The sequence below is a fragment of the Homo sapiens genome, chromosome 11, assembly GCF_000001405.40.
Source record: "Homo sapiens chromosome 11, GRCh38.p14 Primary Assembly".
Classification (NCBI taxonomy): Eukaryota; Metazoa; Chordata; class Mammalia; order Primates; family Hominidae; genus Homo; species Homo sapiens.
The window spans coordinates 22,818,604-22,842,696 of NC_000011.10; the positions used below are offsets into that span (position 1 = coordinate 22,818,604).

The 24,093-nt window shown below is 36.2% G+C and overlaps 1 protein-coding gene and 1 long non-coding RNA gene across 11 annotated transcripts in view, besides 2 other annotated features; one reads left to right on the top strand and one right to left on the bottom strand.

Annotated features, from left to right (window-relative positions):
* Positions 1–323: 323 nt before the first annotated feature.
* On the bottom strand, positions 324–11,198 carry SVIP (small VCP interacting protein). 5 transcript variants are annotated; one of them, NM_148893.3, is made up of 4 exons: positions 11,092–11,198; positions 9,221–9,271; positions 8,604–8,717; positions 324–4,530 (listed from the first exon to the last, which is right to left on the bottom strand). In NM_148893.3, exons 1-4 carry the CDS (start codon positions 11,143–11,145, stop codon positions 4,516–4,518), a joined length of 234 nt encoding a protein of 77 aa, NP_683691.1. In that variant the 5' UTR covers positions 11,146–11,198; the 3' UTR covers positions 324–4,515. The 5 variants fall into 5 exon arrangements, 4 of the variants coding, with proteins under 4 accessions (NP_683691.1, NP_001307269.1, NP_001307270.1 ...); NR_135213.1 differs by lacking the exon at positions 11,092–11,198 and adding an exon at positions 10,654–10,776 and having other exon boundaries at positions 1,660–4,530; NM_001320340.1 differs by lacking the exon at positions 11,092–11,198 and adding an exon at positions 10,692–10,968 and having other exon boundaries at positions 1,660–4,530.
* Positions 10,793–11,102: an enhancer, noted in NCBI's record as "active region_4539". NCBI's record gives its function as "activates an Ori minimal core promoter by ATAC-STARR-seq in GM12878 lymphoblastoid cells {active_cell/tissue: GM12878}" and the evidence as "EXISTENCE:reporter gene assay evidence [ECO:0000049][PMID:35858748]".
* LINC02718 (long intergenic non-protein coding RNA 2718) overlaps positions 10,811–24,093 on the top strand; it is a 376,384-nt gene continuing 363,101 nt past the window's right edge. For all 6 annotated transcript variants that reach the window (NR_187208.1, NR_187205.1, NR_187209.1 and 3 more), the window contains exons 1-3: positions 10,811–11,008; positions 16,304–16,461; positions 19,626–19,761. This is a non-coding gene — a long non-coding RNA (long intergenic non-protein coding RNA 2718). The remainder of the gene's footprint in view (positions 11,009–16,303; positions 16,462–19,625; positions 19,762–24,093) is intronic.
* Positions 11,253–11,322: a silencer, noted in NCBI's record as "silent region_3207". NCBI's record gives its function as "represses an Ori minimal core promoter by ATAC-STARR-seq in GM12878 lymphoblastoid cells {active_cell/tissue: GM12878}" and the evidence as "EXISTENCE:reporter gene assay evidence [ECO:0000049][PMID:35858748]".

The window sequence follows — 24,093 nt, forward strand, 5'->3', positions numbered from 1 at the left end:
GTTGTTTATCCATTTTAAAGCCTTTTGGCAGAGTCATTAGGGTTGTCTAGGTATAGTATCATGTTGTCAGCGAAGAGAGAGAGTTTGACAACTTTTTTCTATATGGATGCTTTGTATTTTTTTTCTCTTGCCTGACTGCTCTGGCTAGTACTTCCCTACTTTGTTTTTTCAAAACTGTTTTGGCTTTTCTAAGTCTTGCATTTCCATATAAATTCAAGGATCATCTTATTAAGTTCTCTAGAAAAGTTTGCTGGGATTTTGCACTGAATTTACTGGCCCATTTGAGAATTACCATCTTCCAATCCAAAAACATACAATGTTTCTTCATTTAGATCTTAATTTATTGGCAATGTTTTGTCATTTTTAATGTCTACAGTTTTATTTTTCCTAAATATTTTATTTGTTGATATTGTAATTTAAATTTTCCCACTTTCAATTACAGATTTTTCATTGCTTGCATATAAACATAGAATTGACTTTCATATACTTTTCATTCTGCAAGATTACTAAAGTCATTTATTAGTTCCAGAAGTTTTTGTGGAACCTCTGAGAATTTTCTACCTGAGACACTTGGTATTAACCTACTTTAAATATATCTGTTACATTTATAATGTAACTATGTCTAAGAAATATAGACAGAGAAAAGGGCATTTTAGGAGTTTGATAGGAAAAGGAGTTTAGCATAACTCCTTGATATCTGACTTATGTAACAAGATAAATTTCAGGGAAATAGCCTAGAGAGCACCAATCTGTGTGCAAAACTAATTAGTTCCACTTGAGATAAGTTAGAGGTACTTGCAAAGAATGGATCAAACCTGTTTTGATAACTAGAAGACATTAACTCAAAACTCAACACAAATTTGGTATTATAAATATAGCCAATGCAGGCCGGGCGCGGTGGCTCATGCCTGTAATCCCAGCACTTTGGGAGGCCAAGGCGGCAGGGATCACCTGAGGTCAGGAGTTCGAGACCAGCCTGACCAACGTGGAGAAACCCTGTCTCTACTAAAAACACAAAATTAGTCAGGCGTGGTGGCACATGCCTGCAATCCCAGCTACTAGGGAGGCTGAGGCAGGAGAATCACTTGAACCTGGGAGGCAGAGGTTGCGGTGAGCTGAGATTGTGCCATTGCACTCCAACCTGGGCAACAAGAGTGAAACTCCATCTCAAAAAACAAAACAAAACCAAAAAAAGCCAATGCAATTCAGGATATAATAACAAAAAAGTATGATATCCACAGGAGTAATGTATGAATACTTAATTTGTAGGCAATAGTTATCACATTCAAAGTCAATATTTGCAAGATGAAGCATAACTAGAAGAGGGAGACTAGAACAATAAAAAGCCATATCAAATGGGAAACTTAGTGTTTTGAGTTACTGGAACCAAAACTTCATCAAAGTCTGTTATACATACAAATGCCTTGTGTCTGTAGCTTTTGAGAAAATTGAAGAAAAAAGCCACAATACTATATTTGAATTAGCTTAGAGCATGTTTAGTAGTTAAGAGAATTTGAAATGCTTGCTTGGAGATGTTAAAGAAATATACCTTATGTCTCAACACATATAGGCAGTCATGGCTACTTACCTCTTACTGGTCTATTCATGCAGAAATTATTCAAAACTGGCAAGAGCTGCTTTTGTCTTCTAAGAACATAGCATAATGCTTATCAGTGAAAATAAAAAGTCAAACATTTGGAGAAAGGGAAAATTCAAAGTTCATGTCCATTTTCCTGGGGTACAAAGGATAGACAGAATTTTTATGATAGTATTATTTCTTTAGGAAAAAACAGGATACTAATTACATCATTTTTCCTTTATAGAAAATCCACCTATAAATCCAGGGATTGTATGAACACACCAAACAACCTTTGGTTCTGTTGCTCTTCTGAATCCCAATGTGATTAAAATGTTCCTGAGGTTTCCCTAACCACCAACTCAGGTTCTAAGTATTTAGGATGTAGTAAAGATAAAATTTTGTTAAAGAGACAGCTAAAGCTAATTTTTACATAGAAAAAAATGTATATTTATATCCCTAAAAGGCAATACAGAATTTATAACCAAACCATGTGTGAGAACTGTTAAATTACATTCCAAATACCAGCAGTGGAACAAACAGAAACACAGAGATGTTTTAAAAAACATGCAGCACGTTACAAAGAGGCCGTGTAATAATTCACAACTTTTGTTAGCAGCCGTTAAGTTTGATTAGTATTAAGCAGCAATGGTTTAAGCAATTTTAAATCATGATATGATAGTTACATATATGCATTTTACTGTTCCAATTATAGTTTAGTAATAGGTCAGGGGTTTGAGCAACATTTTAAGCATTATAATTTTCTCCTAAATTATTTACTATGGGAAATTGGCTTCCACTTAAGGTTTTCATAGAAACTGATGGTTATTTTATGAGGGAGATGTCTGGACGTATGTGTGTATGTGCATGTGTGTGTGTGTATATACACACACATATATAAATTAGAATTTGCAGATATTATGTGTATATATATACACACATATATAATATATATATTATATATATATATAATTTTTTAGTCATGTTTTTAGTCATTTGCTTTTTTTTTTAGTCATTTACCGGTTTCTCATAAGACATCCAGTCACTTCTTTTCCCTTGCCCTTTCCTAACACTGTTCCTAACATTTGGGTACCACCCCTTAGCTCCTGCGACCCATGTGGTTTTGGAGAAAGCTGATCACACTCACGGTGACAGGCCATGGTTGGAAGTAACATGTTCCACTTTTCACGAAAAGTAATAGATCTGAATATCATTCATGGTTAACAATAGATAGTGTGACATTTGGGTATGACCTGCTGGTAGAAATAGGGCATGATTCCCTGGAAGTAAGTCACTTACACCAACCCAAGTTCTAATTCTTTAAGATGTAGTAAAGACAAAATTGTTCTTGCTATATTAAAATGGAAGAAAGGATTTGCAGAGTTCAAGGATGATATGCTCTAGCTCTATATGCACTCCGCTATCAATCATTCCTTTTACTTTCTGCCTTGAAAAAATCATTTTAATAAAATCAAAAATTTTCATTCTAAAATATAGTTCAATGATTTCACTACCCTTTATGAACAAAAACAGCACGAATCCTCTAAAGAAGAAAATTGAGCCAAATTGTTATGTTTTGCCTAGATATTCACACAATATTTCACACCATAATAGAAAAAATAATTTTTCCATGAGAAGTCAAGAGACCTGTATTATATAATAGTTCAAACTTTTAAAAATTAACATGTACAATACACTGCAGTATAACATAATTTTTGTTGGAGGGGTAGATGAAGATAGTGGCTCAGTTTCCTTTGTGTAAAGCAAGTGAACTTGGTCGATTTAACTTAAAATTTCTATTAGCACTTAATATCTGCAAATTTTAATTTAGGGCTCAACATGTGGCCTTGCCATTTAAAAGAGCTATCAGCCTTAATAGCTAACACAAATTCTTTTATTTCAGTGTATTATATAGGAGAAACAAAAAATGCTATAAAATTCATGTTTCTAATGAACAAAAATGTTAAGGTTTATGACTATGCATTGTATAGAATTACCTAATATTTTTATATCTGAAGTAGACCTTTTGTAAGTACAGTACCTACATGTTTTTTTCATACATTCATACTTGCCTTCGCAGTTTCACATCTGTATAAATCTTATGATCGTTCTCTAATAAGTACACAAGATTAACACTACTTATGAAATATGGACAAATATATTACTACTCATTATAACCCATCCAGATTATTAGTTTAACTCATTCAATTACTACAAAGATCCTTACAGAGCTGAATTTAATATACAATAGAACATCACTGCCCTCTGATGGTATCACTAATATATAATTTTAAATTCAGCAAACAAAAAATCCTTTATCATAAAGTAAAACAGGGTATGTTAATTTTATAAGCTACATAAATAAAAATAAATTGGAAAAAATTTTACATCTGCCTAAGAATACTCATTACTAAGTTATAAAAATTTACAGTGCTCCTTCACATCAGCCCTTCAAATGATTTTTTCAAGATTCTCCCTGATGATCAGTTTAAAGGCACTAAGTCCATAAGTTTAATCAAACATCTTCATAGTGAAATAAAAACAGATGTAACGCGATGCAGCACAAATATAAGTAGTTAGATCATTTTATAAAGGATGAAAAGACAACTGCGAATTTTAATCTTAGAGGTATATGCAGAATGTTTACATGCAGTGTATGTATATTCACTATTTAGTTCCATTTTTTAACTACTAAGAAAAATAGCAAATCACCCACTAACTGCAGAAGAGCAAATGTAGGAAAATCAGTATTTAATGAAAAGTCTAGCCATTCTCTAAGCTTGAAAATCAACGTTTTTTTAGCATTGCACTTAAGGGCAATAATATTACAAAGTCTGAATCTTCATTTACTCAAAGAGAAGAAATTAAATTGATGAAGCCCACTTGATTGCAGATAATAAACAGTTATTGGCAGTAGATTCTTCTACTCATGTTATGCTTTATGAAACTGTCCACTAGAAAAGATAAAAAAGAGACAGAAAAGTAAATTTTACTTGAAGTTATATAACAGTACTTCAGTGAACAAACAGGTAAAAAGAGGAATATGGGACATAGAAATACAAAATGATTTTTCTGAATAGCAGCTATTCATAAAATTTTACATTATAGTCCAAAGCCTGAAATAAGATGATAGTTTAAAAGCATAAAGAAGACAAAATATCTGGTCAGATTGGTGGGTAGTTGCAGGATAGCTCTGTCTCACTGTCTTGCCTGTAGTTTTCAAGAGTAACTGTAGAATGTGCTGGGAATGTAACATCCTGGGATAGCAAATGAATGGCCAAGGACAGCTCAAGTTCTGTTCCAGTCCCTCCCTAAAGACAGGACGTCCTTCAATGCTTTAGCCCAAGGAGTCATGTAGTACCTCCCCTTCTAACCCCCAGGTCATAAAACCCAGGGCACTCATCTGAGGTTCAAGTGGGGCACACACAGATGTCATCAACCCCAGGCAGTTTTCCTTGGGAGACAAGCTTATAATGAATCCTAGGCTTCTGTTGTCCCTTGTTGCCAATCTGTAAGTAATAAACTCACTCCACGTTAAATGTTTTTGGTTTTGTTTTGGGATTTTCTTGAGACAGGGTCTCACTCTATCGCCCAGGCTGGGGTGAGGTGGGAATGGCTCACTGCAGCCTTAACCTCGCAGGCTCAAGTCATTCTCCCACCTCAGCCTCCCGAAAAGCTAGGACCACAGGCACATGCCACCACACCTAATTTATTTTTTATTTTTGTAGAGACAGGGTCTCGCTATGTTGCCCAGGCTGGTCTCTTAACTCCTGACCTCAAGTGATCATCCCATCTTCTCAGCCTCCCAAAGCCTTCCTCTCACAGCTGAGATTACACGTGTGAGTGACTGTGCTCAGCCTCTTCATGCAAATGTTACATGCATGAGTATTCTGTCCACTGGACTCTGAAGTTGGTAACCACTGCACAGTGAACCTGCTATTCAGTAGCAAGAGCCTAAATATCCAATAATCAGTAAAGGAACACAAAATAAAACACAACAAAACAAAAATTTAAAAATTCTTGTTTGAGCCAGGGAGTCAAGAAATGGCAGAAACCATTAAAAAATGGTTTGGCAAGGTCTTTTCCTTCTTGAGTTAAGAAAATATTCCATTTGCCCCTTTGTTTAATGAAGTCTATTAAATCTGTGATAGGTCCTGAAGAGCCATTAGGATAGAACCAGAGATATTTGGCAATCTCTTGATAGTGTTTTCCAAGTACATCCAAGGAATATTATTGGGTGTTTTATATATATATATACACACACACATATATATATATATACACATATATATACGTATATATATATGTATATATATACGTATATATATACACACATATATATATAAAATCTATGTTTAAATAAATTTTCAACATTAAAGATTAATCCAAGTAAACTTGCTTTTCTTCATTGTACAATTTCTTAGAGGCCATAATTCTGTGCCTTTTTTAGTCTCTAAGAAGGGGATATAGTCTACAATATACAATTTAGCATTTTTAAACATTTATTCCCATGGGACTCTATCTTCCAAAACATCTCTCTTAGGACAAGTGTTATAAACGCTAGGATAGTGATTCTCAATCTGGGTTCACATTAGATTACCTTGGGAAGCTTAAAACAGTCCTGATGGCTAAACCCTACTCTCAGAGACTGACTGGTGTGAGGTGGAGCCCAATGAACAATCCTTTTTGAAAGCTGCCTATGAAACTCCAACATGCAGCTAAGGTGGAAAGCCATTGTACTAGAGGTCTACCCTTACTCCCGTGCTGCTATATCCTGTACTGATAGTACTTTGCATCCTGATGCCATCATCACATTGACTTCTTCAGGTAAGAAGTCAGAAGACAGCATTACCCATGCTAATTACCCTGGAAAGATGCAGCACTGGTCAGGAGATGAATAGGTGAAAGGCATGAAGACAGGGAATGCAAACTAGACTCATACTCTAGGTAGAGTCAGGTCAGAAAGACTCTACCTAGGGAAGAGTCTTCCTAACCTTCCTACCTTAGGAAGACTCTACCAATACTTCAGGCCAGCCCATGAAACAAGCCAGACAGCAGCCATTAAAGGACCATAGGCCAAGCGTTTTGAGGGTTAAGTACTTCTGCCTTGTATTTTTCCCTTCTGTTATCCCTGAGCCTTCCAGAATTTTTTCACTTCATGCTCTTGACATGTTGTGCATGTGTCAAGCAGAATGGAGCATGCCACTTGAAGCTAGTGTGGTAGTGGTAGGTGATGAGGAATATTCCAAGGAAAAATTACTCACAGTGGACAACAGCAGTGGCTAATGACAGTGAGCCACTGGAGAAAATCCTCCTGCCACTATATAGTTTCAAGGTCCTGAAGGTCATTTTTACTAAGTGAGTTTGAGAGATTTCTTACAAGAACAGTACACAAAGAAAAACAGAAACTAAATTTAACTTTGGGTATGTTTTACATTTTGAGCACTTTTGAATGGATTGTAAGTAATATAAGGCCTAAATTTTTTTTTTAATCTATAGACTTCAGAGTGTGGAAGCTTCAAGTTTAAGAAAGCCTCTTTCTTTATTATACTTTAAAAGCTGATGTTAATTTCATTAGGTTAGAACTTGTGAAGTGTCTTCTTAATTATGATTAAGTGTTGATTAAATTATCCTTTTCCTATAACATTACGTATGACTTTAACTTAATACCTTCACCACTTCTACTGTGAAATAGTGGATCTCATTATTTCCAGTCCTACAATTTAACTTTTGTAATTTTGTGTTTGTTTTTGACAACCCTATATGAAGTAAACCTAGTGAAACAGCACTTTATCTCAACAGAATATTGAGATATGATAAAGAATTGACCTCGTTATCACCCAACTGTTTTACTTTACACTAGACCTATTCTGTTCTATTATGGAATTATAAAAAACATAAGCAAAATGGTCAGACTTATTTACCTTATATTGAAACTAATTATATATTGCTAAAAGTTCACCATAAAAAAACTTCATAAATTTTCATTCGTTAAATGATATAAGATGAAGTAACGTACAATAGTAAAATACACAGACACACATTCTTATTTCTGTGATATTCTTGAGCCAGAATCAACTGCTCAGGGTGTTCATAAACTGCCTGCCCCACAAGTTACGAGAGTATCTACATGTAGGCAAGTGTATGTGTATATGTCCATGTATATGTATGTGCATGTGTGTGTGTGTGTAGTTTTGAGAGAAAAAAAACCAATAAATCTGTTGAAAGGTACTCATAAATCATTGACAAGTTAAATATAAATGACTGAAATTAAAGACATTGTCCTTTTCACAAATATACTACTATTTACTTTAAAAATGGACCAAGAATAAATTCTTAATATCTGAGCCATTATTTTCCTGAGCTTTAAGGGATTTTAAAAATAAATCCTTTAAAGTCCTGCTAGAGTGTAAAGACTCCAGCATTCAGAGACTCTGCTTAACTTGTCCACCATTATATTCCCAGTGTCTAGCTCTGGGATCCATATCTAGGGAGGTATGTGTATGATACCCACACCTGTATACATTCTGTAATCCAAATTAACATTTACATAACTATAATAAACAGGGGCAATGGAAAGATCAAAGATTCCAAATCAATGCGTAAAAGAGCTCAGGCCATAAAACAGAACTTATAGCGTAATCCAATTTAATAAGATATATAAATGAAGGTTAGAAATTATGTCTGTCAAAATGGTACTTAGTTTGGATGACTTTTACACTTCTTTATACTTCTCCATATTGCTTGAATTTTTGAATTATTTAAGATTAGTAGTAAGCATAAGAGTATTAAAATATATATAGTGTTAAAATAATAAATCTATTATTTCATTTTGGGGAAAAAAGCTAATTGATTCCAATAAATGTTAAAATAAATTGGTATTACTTCCAATATTTACTACTCATGCTTTTAAACTATTTCAAAATTTTCTGATAATACATTTCAGGAGAAAATTATGAATGGATTGCTACTTAAGTTTTTTTAAAATGCCAGTTAAGTTAATCACTAAGAAAATTTTAATACTTACCCTAAGTCCACCTTCTGGTGGGGGCCCGGATGTAGCAATTTGTTTTTCTATTTTTTCCTTTTTCTTTCTCTTTTCTTGCACAGATTGAACATCTAAAATTCCCCGAGATGCAGCCTTGAAGAAATTTGATAAGAAAAACAGAAAGACAACAAAAATCTGTCCAGTGTGCAAAACATTTTTTTGTCTATCTTTGCTTTCTAGGTTTTTCTTTGGGGGTAGGGAGTTGGTTTATTTTTGGTAACATAGAAGGAGTGTTTCTACAACAGCCTTACATAAAACATCATTTCTTCACTGGGTATTTTGTAACTATACAAATTTTCCCCTAAACTTGCTTCACATCTGTAAGTATTTTACAATGCACAGCCATTTTAAAAGGAAGGATGTTACTAAAAGAGTATCTGAATTTAGAGAAGATATGATAGTTTTCATATATTAATATAAATATATTAATGCAATTCATATAAATAAGGAAATCATTTTGAAAATAATTACATTTAAATGTAAATTTTTGGGATATCAAAGGCCATTTGCGTTAGAAAATCTAGCTATGGACATCTATGAAGAATAAAGTCCAAACTCAATTATCTAAGTAGGCAAAACTTGATCTTTAATCTTACCTCTTTTTGTCTTCTCTCTGCAGCCTCTGCAAGCTTTGCTCTTTTCTCTTCCTAAATAAATGTGTAAAAATATGTATTAAAATAACAAACATTATTATTAATAAATTATTCACATTTATTTCATAGGCACTATAACAATTTACAAAAATATTCGGTACTGGCCCTAAATGTCCCACAAAGAATGCCACTACTCAACTTTTTGAATTTCATTCTCCTAATCAATATGCCTTCAAATCAGCACATGCTAAAACAGATACAAGGTTTACCTATATAATCATTTATTTACTCTCTTTTTTAATAAAAAGGCCTACAAGCTAGTCAGGGCAATAACAAAACAAATAATGTTTACAAATACAAAAAGGAAAATACATGGTTTGTTACTGCCGGTTAAAATGGAGTCTGAAGTAACCTGGTGTTTTTAGGAAAGGTTAATAAATGAAGTGGGCTAATCTCAGTGTGTAGGAGGGAAGGACTGGAGTAATTTCATGAGAGGTATTGTTCCATATCAGAAAACAGTGAATGCTATTTTTCTAGACCATGTACTACTTATTATAAAGCCCTTTTTCTAGGTGCTGGGATACAACAGTGTAAAAACATAGATAAATGTCTCCTCCCAAATGAAACAAATTCCAATTGCGGGCGCACAGACAAATATAATGAAGTAAGTAAACGTCTGTCAGATGGCATGGCAGATAAGTAATGGGAGAATGGGTGGGTGGTATTGTGGGGAATATATTTTGTTTAACGTGGTCAGCAAAAGCTTCACTGGTAAAGTGACATCCAAGCAGTGAGCCGTGTGGTTATCAAGGGAAGAGGGTATAGTATGAGGATGGGGGGGAGGGCTTAACAAATCTGACATGTTATATTTTATCGACAGCCAGAACAACAAAATCAACTTAATTTAAAACAACAGCAGCAACAAAGAGAAGCTGAACTTTCCCACATCAAATTTATAAGTACTAAATTTTTAGTATCTATAGTAGCTGAAGAGTTAATGTACTTCCCAAAAATACTTCATTTTCTTCAACTAATTTTTAGCTAGAGAAGAGAAACAGGTTTATGTTAACTCCCTGTAAGGAGTACTAATGTAAAGATACTGTTAACAGAAAGCTACAAAAAGTGTACATGTATTGTACCACACACCCACTAGCTACATTTGAATTTCAGATAAGCAATGAGTAATGTTTTTGTAGAACTAGATCCCTAATATTGCATGGCACAAAACGATATTATAAACGTATTCCTTGTATATCTGAAATTCGAATGTAACTGGGTGTCCAGTATTTTTATTAAATACGACATTATAAATTGGACACTCTGTACTACATATTCTTTTAAAGGGAGAACGTAAAAGAATGAGATAAATACTAAAAAGAAATCATTAAAAAAACATATCCGATAAAGCTCAGGCGTATAAGCGACTTTCCGAGCACCTTCTTTTAAAAGATGGTAGACACAGTTGAAAACGCACATCTCCTAGACGACTAAAGAGCTCCCGGAGAAAGCAATGTCTTTTCGCGCCGAATTCCATCTACCACATCCCCCGGAATGTCCCACGCGTAACGCCCTCTGCGTGCGCCGGCGCCCTATGAAGATCCGGCGCAGCTAAAGTCAGTGGAAGGTAGAAAGACGCCACAGCCGCCTTTCGACAACTTTTTGTTACAAAAGTGGAGATCTACACGGAGGCGACGGCCTAGGTCGCTCTGACAGGACCCAACGACCCTCCTGACGCGTCCACCCGTCCTCGCTAGCAGGGTCCCCCAGCGGGCTCTCGACCTGCGCCACCAGGTACAATGGCTCGGCCCGCCCCGCAACCCGAGGACAGGTGCTCAAGGCGCGGCCCGGCGGACGCAGGGACCTGCTCTACTCACCAGGTCCGGCGTGGGAGGCGCGGACTCCCCGGGACAAGGAAAACACAGCCCCATAGGGACGACAGCTTGAGAACCCTGACCGGGTCCGGCCCAGGCCAGGCGGCGCTAACTGCGCGGTCCGGAGCCGGTCCCTGGTCCTCCGCGCTTGCCCCGCCCCCACCGCCCTCCACTGGCTCGGCTCCGCCCCAGCGGCAACGCCCCGCCCCCACCCCGCAGCTCTGCCCCGCCTCGCCTCTCTGCGGCAACGCCCCCCTCTTCTCGCGACACCAACCAGTCCCACAGCTCAGCTGCGCCCCCTTAAGGCATTGCCCCTTCCTCACCCACAGCTCCGCCTACCCCCGCCCCGCGACCGCTGGGCTTGTGGCCAAAGCCTAGGTTCCAGGAAACACCTGCTGTGGGTAGCAATGCAGGGAAGGGATGGAAAAGCTTCGCTACGGTTCCAAAGCTCTTCCTGCTAACCTTGCCTTACCATTTATAAATGAATGAGTGGTACAGCTCTGGGTAGTTCATGCTACCTTTTTTTATGAGATGGGACTCTGGTGTCCTAGAAATTAAAGCCAAAATTCCAAGTAAACATCAGCACCCTTTTCTCCCTTCTTAGTGACAGTGCTATTCCAGAACAGAGGGCAGAATATAAAATCCATTATTATGACGATGAATCTAGCGTCATAAATGTGGCATTAGTTGACATTTCCACTAGTTTCTGGTATTTAGAAGTCATTTATCCTTCCGAGAGAAATAATAAAGTTTCATCTACTGAGAAATGTTTTAATGATTCTCCTCAAATTTTAATAAGTATGAGAATCAGCTGGGCAACTAGTTAAAATTTACTTGCTGATTTAGTAAGTATAAGGTGGGACCTGAGATTCATTTCCAGTAAACCCACAGGTGATACTAAAGTTACTGATCTCGTCTCCACACAAATGCTTTTATTTTATTTTATTTTATTTTTGCATTCTATTAGTTATTTCTGCTTATGTAAAAATTTTCAAACATTACAAAAAGGTAGGATGTATAGTGACAGCGTCTCAGAAACCATTGTCGGCTTTTTGATATACTTGCTGGTTAATTTTTTATAGATGTATAATTTACATATAATATTATGCACTTATTTTGATTGTAGAGTTCACTGAGTTTTAACAAACATGTGATCACCACATTCAAGATATGTAAGTTTTCCATCACCCAAAAACCTTCTATTGTACCCAATCCCATTCAATACTTTATCCTATACCTAGATCCAGGAAACTATTAATTTGTTTAATATCACTTTAGTCTTTAAGTTTTGCATAAATGTTAATATCACTATAGTCTTTAAGTTTTACATAAATGAAATATACAATATGTTTTGCAAAAGCCATAATATTTTCTAAATTCTTCCATGTTATTGAATGAAACAGTAGTTTATTCCTTAAATAATAGGGGATGATGCTTTTTTAATACTATTATTCGATTGCATGGGCCGTTTCTAAGGGTAAATAAAAATATATAAAGAAAAAGTGAAGGTTCTCTGTTGCAAAAAGAGAAAGATAACTACCCACCTCCTCTTTAGCATTGTGTTTAGAAAACGTGAAATTGTAAGCGCTATCTCTGTCTCACTGAAATGTATGAAAAAAAAAAAAAGGCCAGGCATGGTGGCTTACTCCTGTACTTTTGGAGGCCAAGGTGGGTGGATCACCTGAGGTCAGGAGTTTAAGACCAGCCTGACCAACGTGGGGAAACCCTTTCTCTATTAAAAATACAAAACTTCGCCAGGCATGGTGGTGGGCGCCTGTAATCCCAGCTACTCCGGAGGCTGAGCAGGGAGAATCGTTTGAACCCGGGAGGCGGAGGTTGCAGTGAGCCGAGCTCGCGCCACTGCACTCCAGCCTGCACAACAGAGAGAGATTGCGTCGAAAGAAAAGAAAGAGAGGAGGGGAGGGGAGGGGAGGGGAGGGCAGGGGAGGCTAAATAAGCCTCTTGCCAGTTTTGCATCAGAAAGAAAGAACCTAAATAAGCCTCTTGCCAGTTTTGTATCCTCAGAATATCTTTGGAGGCCTATTGGCTTTCTCTTAGAAATGAAAACATCCCAGAGTGGCACCTGTCTCCCCGTCTTCATGGTAGTTTACTGTCTAGGCACTTGGCTTCAAGATGGAGCTTTCTGCTTGTCAAGAGATACAAGTGTTATTCTTTCCTTTAGATTTCTTTTAGATAAAAACAATTAACATGTGTGTAGTGGACTGTATCTGACAGGCTATATAAAAATGGTGAAGAATGTTTTCATTGCAAACTCTTTAGTAGATTGCTTCTGATAGAAATCACAATCGATTTAATGCTTATTCAATGATAAAACTGTTTCTTTTCTGCATTTGTGGAGAGTTTCCTGCATTGGCAGATTTTGTTTTTAATTATTATCAAAACACTTTCCATGACATAATTATTTCCCCAACACTTTCCATGGTTTATTGATTTTTATTTTTAATAAACATTATTGAGATATAAAATACAATTAACACATCTACTTTAGGTGTACAGTAGTGCCTTCCATTCCTGGTTTTGATAAAGTTTCAGTTTATTTATTCAACATTAATATCACTATAATCTGTAAGTTTTACATAAATGAAATATACAATATATGTTTTGCACATGTATTGTCAACTGCATGGTCAACTGAGGTCCAAAAATATTAAATGGAAAATTCCAGAAATAATTTGTAAATTATAAATTGCTTGCCTTCTAAGTATCTGATCAAATCTTAGGCTGTCCTAATCCATCACACACAGGATGTGAATGATGTGAATCATCCCTTTGTACAGCGTATCCACAGTGTCTAAGCCACCCCGCCCATTAGTCACTTAGTAGCTATCTCAGTTGTCACATTAACTGTTGGTATTACAGTGCTGGTGTTCAAATAACCCTTATTTTACATATTAATGACCCAAAGTGCAAAATTAGTGATAATGGCATATTGTTATAATTGTTTTATTATTAGTTGTTAATCTGTTACTGCACCTAATTTATAAATTAAACTTTATCATGGGTATTACGTATAGAAAAAAACAGTGCAGATACAGTCACTGACCAAGATGGCCTAATGTTTCCTGCTGCCTGACTAACCTTTAGACAGGGTTCTTCCTGATTGTTGGCCTCTGACCTCCCTATTTTTAGACCATTCACTTTAAAAAAAACTTGCAAAGTGTACATTTTCTCTGCTCCTTTAAGATGTAAATCTTCTGGCCTCTTATCAGTTCTACAATGCAGAACCATCTTTCTCAAAAACCTGGGTGTCATCTCTTTGAAATTCAATAATTAAGAAAGGTAGAACCTTTTTTTATCTCCTAATCTCTGTGGGAGAGTAGGAGCCTGACTTCCCTAAGCACCAATCAGCAAACACAGATGGTCTAACCCTATTGACCAACATACAGTACTTTTCCACTTAGGGACTTCTGTGCTTAAAATCTCTCCTGCTTTTTTTTTCAGTGGCATTGAGCCCTCTTTCTGTGCCTTATTACAGTGGTCTTAAATAAAGTCTTTTGTTGCTGTTTAACTCTGTCAGGTGCAAATTGTCTTGGATATTAGTTGAGTTTTTGACAATTATATGTGCTCTTGTAAACACCATAAGAAGGTATACAACATTTCCATTACTCTAAAAGTTTTCCTTGTGCCACTTTCCAAACAATCCCCCATTGACCTCTAGCCCACGACAAATATTGATTTGCTTTCTGTCTCTATTAATTAACTACACACTTTCTAAAATTTCATAGAAATGGAAATATATCGTAAGTGCTTCTTTTGTCTGGCTCTGCTCCTTCTACATAAAGTTTCTGAAATTCATCAGTGTTACTGTGTCTGCTTCTTAATATTACATTGTTATAAGTATGCTACATTTAAAAAGTTAATTTACCAGGGGGCACAGTGGCTCTTGCCTGTAGTATCAGCTATTCAGGAGGCTGAAGACGTAGGATCACTCAAGCCCAGGAGGTTGAGACCAGCCTGGGCAACATGGGGAGACCCCATCTCTACAAAACATAACAAAAAATAGCTGAGCACAGTGGTGTGTGCCTGTAGTCTCAGTGACTGGGGAGGCTGAGGGTGGAGAAACACATGAGCCCAAGGAAGTCGAATGGAGAGACCTCATCTCTACAAAAAATACAAAAAATAGCTGAGCACGGTGGTGTGTGCCTGTAGTCCCAGTGACTGGGGAGGCTGAGGGTGGAGAAACACATGAGCCCAAGGAAGTCGAGGCTGGAGTGAACCATGATTGCACCACTGCACTCCAGCCCGGGCAATGGAGTGAGACCCCATCTCAAAACAAACAAACAATAACAACAACCCCCCAAAACCCCCAAAATGTCAATTTACCTATTCATGGATGTATGGGCTCCTTTGAGTCTTTTCAGGCCATTATGAACAAAGCTCCGTGAATATTTGTGTGCAGTTATTTGTGTGAAGTTTTTTTTGTCTTGACTACCTAAAAATGGAATAACTTATTTATATTTTACATGTATGGAAATGAGGACTGAACTCTTAATTTTTTTATCTTGCCCAAATCCCTATCTAAGGGGTCTGGGGAGTCATGCCCTACAAATCATAAATTCTCATCAGATGGATTTTATTTAACCCCGTATATCATGATTTACTTTCCAACCTAACTCTGGCATAACATTACAAGACAAAGAAGAAAATTAAAATATGTTACCCAAAAACATGTTTCTTTGCCATATTTTGAAATGACCCTCCAAAGCGTTTCTTTGTGGGGGAAAATGTGCAGCTGTAAAGAATCTCTATTAACATACCTAGATTTTTTTCTTCCAGACCCTCCCAATCCTAAAGAGATTAACTAAGAGCTGAATAGGAAACATTGGGCACCTGTTGCCTCTAAGGGCAGCCACTATAAGACTTCAAAAGAACTTTGGTCTCCACAATCTTTATCTGAACCTGAACATTCCCTTTCTATCTATCCCAGGTCTTCAGACAAACTCAACCAATTGTCAACCAGAAAAATGTTTAAATTTACCTATAGCCTGGAAGCTCCTGCTTTGAGTTGTTCTGCCTTTCTGGACCAAACCAATGTACTTCTTAAATGTATTTGATTGATGTCTCATGCTCTCTAAAATGCATAAAACCAAGCTGCGCTGAACCACCTCGGGTTCTCAGGACTTGCTGAGGGCTGTGTCACGGGCCATGGTCACTCATATTTGGCTCAGAATAAATCTCTTCAAATATTTTACAGAGTTCCACTCTTTTTGTCGACAATAATATGGCGCCCAAACACGTGGGGCCTCAGAGAAGACTCTGGATCCGGAAGGAGTATCCCAAAACCAGAGCTAAGGTACCAGCTGGAGCCCACTGAAGCCTCACCGAGTTTGGGCTTCTCCTCCTGTGGAACTGGTAAGTCCTCCTGAGCCTCGGACCTCCTGTTTTGGTTGATAGTCCTTGATGTATTCTGAGCTGTTTTATTCTCCTAGGAATTTGTTGCTTTAGGATCCCAATTCGAGTTCAAAGATGCATTTCTAAAGGGTCTCCTCAATTGCTTTTCTCTCAGAATTAATCTCAATTTGGCTTGTTTGTGCATATTTGAGTGAGGAACTGAACTGTCATTTTCATCCACGACTCATCAGTTCCTCCTTTAAAAAAAAAAAAAAAAAAAAAAGTAGGGGCCGGGCGCGGTGGCTCACGCCTGTAATCCCAGCTCTTTGGGAGGCCGAGGCTTGTGGATCACGAGGTCAGGAGATCGAGACCATCCTGGCTAACACGGTGAAACCCCGTCTCTACTAAAAATACAAAAAATTAGCCGGGCGTCATGGCGGGTGCCTGTAGTCCCAGCTAGTTGCGAGGCTGAGGCGGGAGAATGGCGTGAACCCGGGAGGCGGAGCTTGCAGTGAGCCGAGATCGCGCCACTGTGCTCCAGCCTGGGCGACAGAGCAAGACTCCGTCTCAAAAAAAAAAAAAAAGTAGGAAAGAAATTAACTAAGAATATGGAAAAAAAAACAAGGAGAATGACCCCCTTTTGAGCACACCGTAGGTTTTGTGGCACCTCTACTTTCCAGAGTTTATGGAAAATGGAAGTAATATAGTCTTTGTGTACATTTTACTTTAAGGAAAAAGGTGCCTAAGGTCGACCTGCAAACTATAGAGTTCCTAAGTTCTCTTTCTCTATTTTCTGCCTGCTTTAAATCTGGTGTTACTTTCATACTGAGATAAAAAACCACTGTTTGGATCTAACCGTTTTTTTGCAAACCGGCAAATTTATATTCATCTCATGGCCAAAGTACTAAAGTAAATCTATAGGATCTTTGTGTGTGTACGTATATGTATGTATATATGTGTGTATGTATTTGAAGGCCTTCATAAATTCTATAATTTTATGTTTAATTGGAAGTTACATTCATTTTAATTTTCCTTTAGCGTACCAAACTTTTTCTTTTTGTACCTTATTACGTAAATTTTGCTATCTGATTGTCACCTGGGTTGTTTCCTTTAATATGCAAATTTATGTCTATTTAGCTGAAAACTGCTTAGGGTGGTGCAACATGTTATCGAGAATTTGAAAATCTAAAATTGAAAAAAAAAAAAAGGAAAAGGAAGTCTTTATGAATCTATAAAATGTACCTCTATCGGCATGCCTAGATATGTCCATGTATTTATGTTATGCAGTGTTTCACTGCTAAAATATATATATGTAAAGAGTTCCAATTAATTGGCTAAAAAAATAGGTAAAAGTGCTTAAATCAGAGACTTAAAAAAGAAAAGACTAGTCAAATATTTTTTCAGGTTCACATGACTTAAGTAAAATCTTTAATAAATAAGATGGCTTTAAAACTATTGGTAAAATAATATCAACAATGTTAGCATTTTGTTTGCATTTATTGATCAAGTAGTTTCATGTTTATTCCTGCCTAGTGGGCCAGATAATGCCATTGTAAGTTCTCTTTGCCCTGAGAAGGGTTGACTGCCCCACTCTTCCTATAAAATACCAAGTGAAGTACACCAGATGAAGCAGTTAATATGTTTCATATGCAAGCCATGTTGGACTAGCTTTATAACTGGGATATCCTCCTGCCAAATATGCATATTACCTAGGTCATGGTAAATTTGGGGGTTAGGGGACCCCCTTTACGTGGGTGCTCCTCTGACAGAATGACAGGACTATTTAAGTAGACTTATCAAATCTGCGGTCCCTCATAGGTCTTATAGATGTAACTCCCTGCTGGGAAACCAAATCCTTTTCACCAGAAAAGGTAAAATGGTCTGGGGGTAAAAAAGGGTTCCTGAGACCTGAACATAAAAACATACAGTTTAATAGAATTATAAAATTTAAGATGTTTAAACAAGCTTTATGTAAGGTAGTTGTAACCCCCTTTTACCAAAAAGTCTTATGAAAATGGGTACTGTATCTAACTGGGGGTTGTTTTTCTCTTTTCTAGTACTATAAAAACTGAAGACATATAAATCGGCTCTTTAGGAAATGTTATTTAAACATTTATTAAATTTATTTATTTAAAAATGTTATTTAAACACACTAAATAGGAACTAGTAAAAGCCCACAAAATATAGGGTAAAGCTTTCCTTTGCTGCATAGCCCTTTATGTGGAGCTTTTATCGGGGCTGATGGAAAAAACTGTGAGTACCTTTCAATGACAATGACCGAACTAGAGAATTTCTACTTGATAGGGCATTTACTGCCTTGCTATGAGATATTAACTGAAGCTACCCCTATGCTAATGGAAATTATGTTTCCCAAAAGAGTCCTATGATAAAATAAAAATGGCTTACACAAAATCTTGCTACTTAATAAGCAGAGAGCCTCTTTTCTAGGACTAATTGTGAGGAGCTGCTAAATTCTACAGTGCCTAATAGTTCTCATTAGCTGTTTGGTTTGTAAATGGCATTTCCCAGGTAAACAAACACTTGTTTTAAAAGCTGCGGCTCTGGTTAAAGAAGGGTCAAAAAAAAAAAAATCTTTTAAGTTATTTGGATAAAGTACATTTTTGTAAGCAAACTTACCTTTCTGAGTCCTCCAAAATTCAGATTGAATTTTATGACAATATAGTTGTCTGCCTAAGTTCAATTATAGTTTTTTTTTTCTTCAAACAATTGGAGACACTGGTTATTTTACCAAGACTGAAACTAAAATATTCTATTTTTAGGTAAACTTTCAGCAAAACCAACTCGAAAGGAGTCTATATGGCCAATCAATTCTTGCTGCATTTTATGCAGCTATTCAGGCAAGCATAATAAGCCTAAAACTTACCTTGCACGCAAATTGGCCTTGCTATAACTTTTTGTTTAATAAAAAGGGCAGCTAGAAAAAATGTTTCAAGGGTAAAGCGTAACACTTAATACTAGATTTCAGCCCTAACTTTTTGAGTACAGATTAAATCATTATTTCTTGGCTACAAGAATCCTCTAGAAAGCACCAAGTTATAATTTTTCTTCATATTTTTAGTTGGTACCCTAATGTAATAGGTTCCTTTTTCTATTCTGATCTATGAATTACTCCTATAATTGTCAAACTATAAATGTTAATTATCTCTCCTTGTTTTACATCCAAGGAAACCAAAATCATGGTATTTTGAAAACCAGAGGTATGAATCTCCCTCGTTTGGCATCCCACTGGGCCTGGACCTGTTTCACTGCTAATGTTCTGCTGCCAAAACTATACAAGCTGCCTGGACTATTGCAGAAGAGGTGGGTGCATAAGATTGTAAGGACCGGCTTTCAGGGAAAAAATTAGCTTAAGGTCAAACCCTCCAAATCAAGAAAGGGGGTACAAAAATGCCTAAACAGCAGGTAAAACAAGTTTAGTTGCCTTCTAAGCTATTATGTGTCACTTTTGCATCCACCCCAACCATAAAAATTTTCTGCTTACTATAGAATTAAAGGAAATTCTTTACTAACAGGATAAAAATATTTTGTAACAAAGCCTCCTGGGTATAATACTACCAATCATGAGTTGTGAAGATCGATCGATCTATCTATCTATCTATCTATCTATCTATCTATGTAACTATATTTTTCAGAAGAATGCTTATGTTTGGTATATAAGGCTAACTGTTACAAGTCTGTAACAAAAACCAAGCTCACAGTAGCTCAACACATAGAAGTTAAAAATAAGTCCGTCTTTTAACTTTTGTTTTGTTTTGTTTTGTTGTTGGCTTTTTTACTTAAAATAATAATTTTACGAAGTAACAAGTGCCTGTCCACATCCATTCCTATATGGCTTAGAACAATTAATTGGCTATATGTCCTTTGTCTCTTAAGGCCCTTGGCCATAGGGAGTCCTGCCAAGGGACAAAAACAACAACAACAACAACAACAACAAAAACACAAAAAACCACTGTAGAATTATTTGACTTCTCCTGTGACAAAACTTCCTCTTCTCTCCCAAATACCAGTCAGTATATGGTGCAATACAAAAATGGTAGGAAAAATAGATTTGTCTACTGTTAACAAGTTTATAACAATTTAGACACTGAGGACCAGGCATTCCTTGCATTTGATTTATACCCTTCTCAGGATGTTATACCTATGGAGATAAATTGGCCAGAAGAGAGACTATTTATTAAAATCTTCAAATAAGATTTATCATAAGGTTCAAATGACCCTGGATAAGGAGGGTAAACACATTGTGAGTCTGATCAAAGCATATGATGGTGCATGTAGTGACGTTTTTGGCTGCTTAGGTTGTTTACTGTCCTCTGACTCTACCTATAACATGTTTGGATGCCTACTTTCACTATCTTTATGATATTTTATGTTATGAAGGCAGCTCCTTTCCTTAAACCTCATGAATCATCCTCTACTACCTTTTAACTTTTCTTTTGCAGCTACCTCACCTCTCTTAGCTTTCTTAGAATTGATGAGTTAGGACCTTGCTCTGGATAGGCTTTGGTGTAAAGGAATATTGTTGCTTGTTTGGTCTTCTATCCAGACCACTAAAACCTTTTCTGTATCAGCAATAAGACTGGTTCACTTTCTTATCATTTGTGTCTTCACCGAAGTAGCACTTTTAATTTCCTTTAAAACCTTTGCATTCACAACTTGGCTTATTCTTTGGTGCAAGAGGCATAGCTTTTGACCTTTGTAATCTTTCACAATGCCTTCCTCACTAAGATTAATAATTTTTTTTATTTTTGATTTAAAGTGAGTCATTAGCTTTTTATTTCATGTGAATACTTAGAAACCATTGTAGGGATATTAATTGGTCTAATTTCAATATTGTTTTCTCTCAGTTAATAGGAAGGTTGTGAAAAGAGGGAGTGAGATTGAGGAATGGCTGGTCAGTAGGGCAGTCAACACATACATTTATTGATTAAATTCATCATCTTAAGTGGGTATGGTTCATGGCACCTGAAAACATTTATAACAGTATTATGAAAGATCATTGATTGCAGGTCACCATAACTAATATAATGAAGAAGTTTGAAATATTGTGAGAATTATCAGAATGTGACACAGAGACAAGAGGTGAGCACATGCTCTTGGGAAAATGGTGTTGATAGACTTACTTGATGCAAGGTTCCCACAGACCTTCAATTTGTAACAAAAACAATATCTGCTAGGCACAATAAAGTGAAGCACAATAAATGAGGTATGCCTATATGAACAATTATAGGTTAAAAATAAAAGGATTGAATAATAGTGTGCAAACATGAATCTTAAAAAATGTGAAATGAGTATATTACTAGAACATATAATAGTCCAGAATAAATCATATTATCAGGTATACAGATGAACACGTATAATAAAAAGGTCAGTTTATCACAAAGGCATAATAATCATAAATATATACACCCAACAACAAAGCAAAATATATCCAGCAAAATCTTCCAGAACTCAAAGAGCAAATAGACAAATTTACATTATACTTGGAAAATAAACATTCCTCTCTCGTAAGCTGACGCAACAAAAAGAAAATAAGTAAAAATACAGAAGACTTAACATTATTATACAATTTGACCTGATTGACATTTATAAAATATTTCACTCAATGTCAACAGAACACATACTGTCTCAAGTGCACCTTGCAACACAAAAACAAGACCTTCTACTGAGTCATAAAGTAAGTTTTAGTAAATTTCACAGGATTAAAGTTATACAGAATATGTTCTTTGGCCAAAATGAAATTAATGAAAAAATCAATCGCACAGATACATCTGGAAAGTTGCTAACATTTGGAAATTAAACAAGGATGTGAATAATGCATGGGTCAAAGAAGAACTCACAATGGAAGTTAGAAAATACTTTGTAATGAATAAAAATTCAGTATAAAATGCACTTTATATTTGTGAATACAGCTAAAATGTGCTTAAAAGAACAGGTATAGCTCTTCTCAATGAGAAAAAAAGATATAAAATTGAACTTGTGTTGTATGTTATGAAAATAGGAAAAGAAGAGTAAATTAAGCCAAATTAAGTAGAAGGAAGGAACTATGAAAATGTGACTAGAAATAATGAACTAGAAACAACAGAAGAAATAAATGAAACTCTAAATTATATACATATATATATATATATATATATATATATTTTTTTTTTTTTTTTTTTTTTTTTTTTGATGGAGTTTCACTCCGTCGCCAGGCTAGAGTGCAGTGGCACAATCTCTACTCGCTGCAACCTCTGACTCCCTGGTTCAAGCGATTTTTCTGCCTCAGCCTCCCGAGTAGCTGGGATTACAGGCATGTGCCACCATGCCCAGCTAATTTTTGTATTTTTAGTAGAGATAAGGTTTCACCATGTTGGCCAGGATGGTCTTGATCTCCTCACCTCGTGATGTTCCTGCCTCGGCCTCCCAAAGTGCTGGGATTACAGGCATGAGCCACCGTGCCCAGCTTTAAATTATATTTTTAAAGATCAATACAATTAATAAACTCTAGATGGAGTGATCAAAAAGAAAAGACACAGATAACCATTAGCAGAAATGTTGGAAGTGATCAAAATTGAAAATCTGAACAAATATATATTTGAAATATATGTATAATTGAAATATATATATTTACATATATAATTTGAAATATATATAATTGAAATATATATTTACATATATAATTTGAAATATATATATTATTTATATATATAAATGAATTTGTAATTAAAAATCTTTCTATAAGCAATTCTCCAGTCCCAGATGGGTACACTGGTGTTTTCTACCAAACATTTAAGAAATTACACCCATCTCATACAAATATTTTCAGAAAACAGAGGCAGAAGGAATATGCCCCAATTCATCTTATGAAGCAGTTTTAAGATATACCTGGGATTTTGTTTAATCAGGTATGGTAAGACATACAGACATGAAAATGTTGGTCATGAAGGAAGATGCTTTTATGGTAGTCACATCACAGTCGTGAATAACTAATAGGCATGTCGTGCTGTTAAGGGCCACTCAGGGAAGCACAGAGACAGAATGGCAGACAGAAAGAGGACTGGAGGGTGACTATTGTGGTTTTCCTGGGAAAAAAATGGGAGAAGAAAAGTAAGCAAGTTAAACAAGTTGAATATTAAATAGTTTGAATAACTTGTATAATTCAGTGAGGTCTCAGCTATAGGTTGGTCCCTAGTTGTTAGGCCCTGATCCTGGGGTGACTAAACCGGAGGGACAGTGTCACAGATTGCTCACAAGCAAATTGTTTACTGTCTCTAAGAAGTAACCCTGTAAAAAGCAGTCCCTCCCTGGCTCTACAAAGTCCTAGGTGCCACAGAATCAAGAACATGGAAAATACATATTTTGTACATGTATCAAAATACCACTCTGTATTCTATAAATATGTACAATTATGTGTCAGCTGGAAATAAAAGGAAAAAACAAAAAAATACTGGCCCTACCCATACTTCAGCTTCCTCACCTCCAATAAGACTCAAGTATTTGCAGCTGCTGGTATGGTAACTCATGTTCTGTCCACCTGTAAGGCTGAGATCTATGAGACAGTAATGGACAGAGCTACATCAGTGTCTGCAGGGCACATCATGGAGTCCAGTCAATTTCCATGGACAAGCTCCCCAATCTGGAAGGACACTTCCT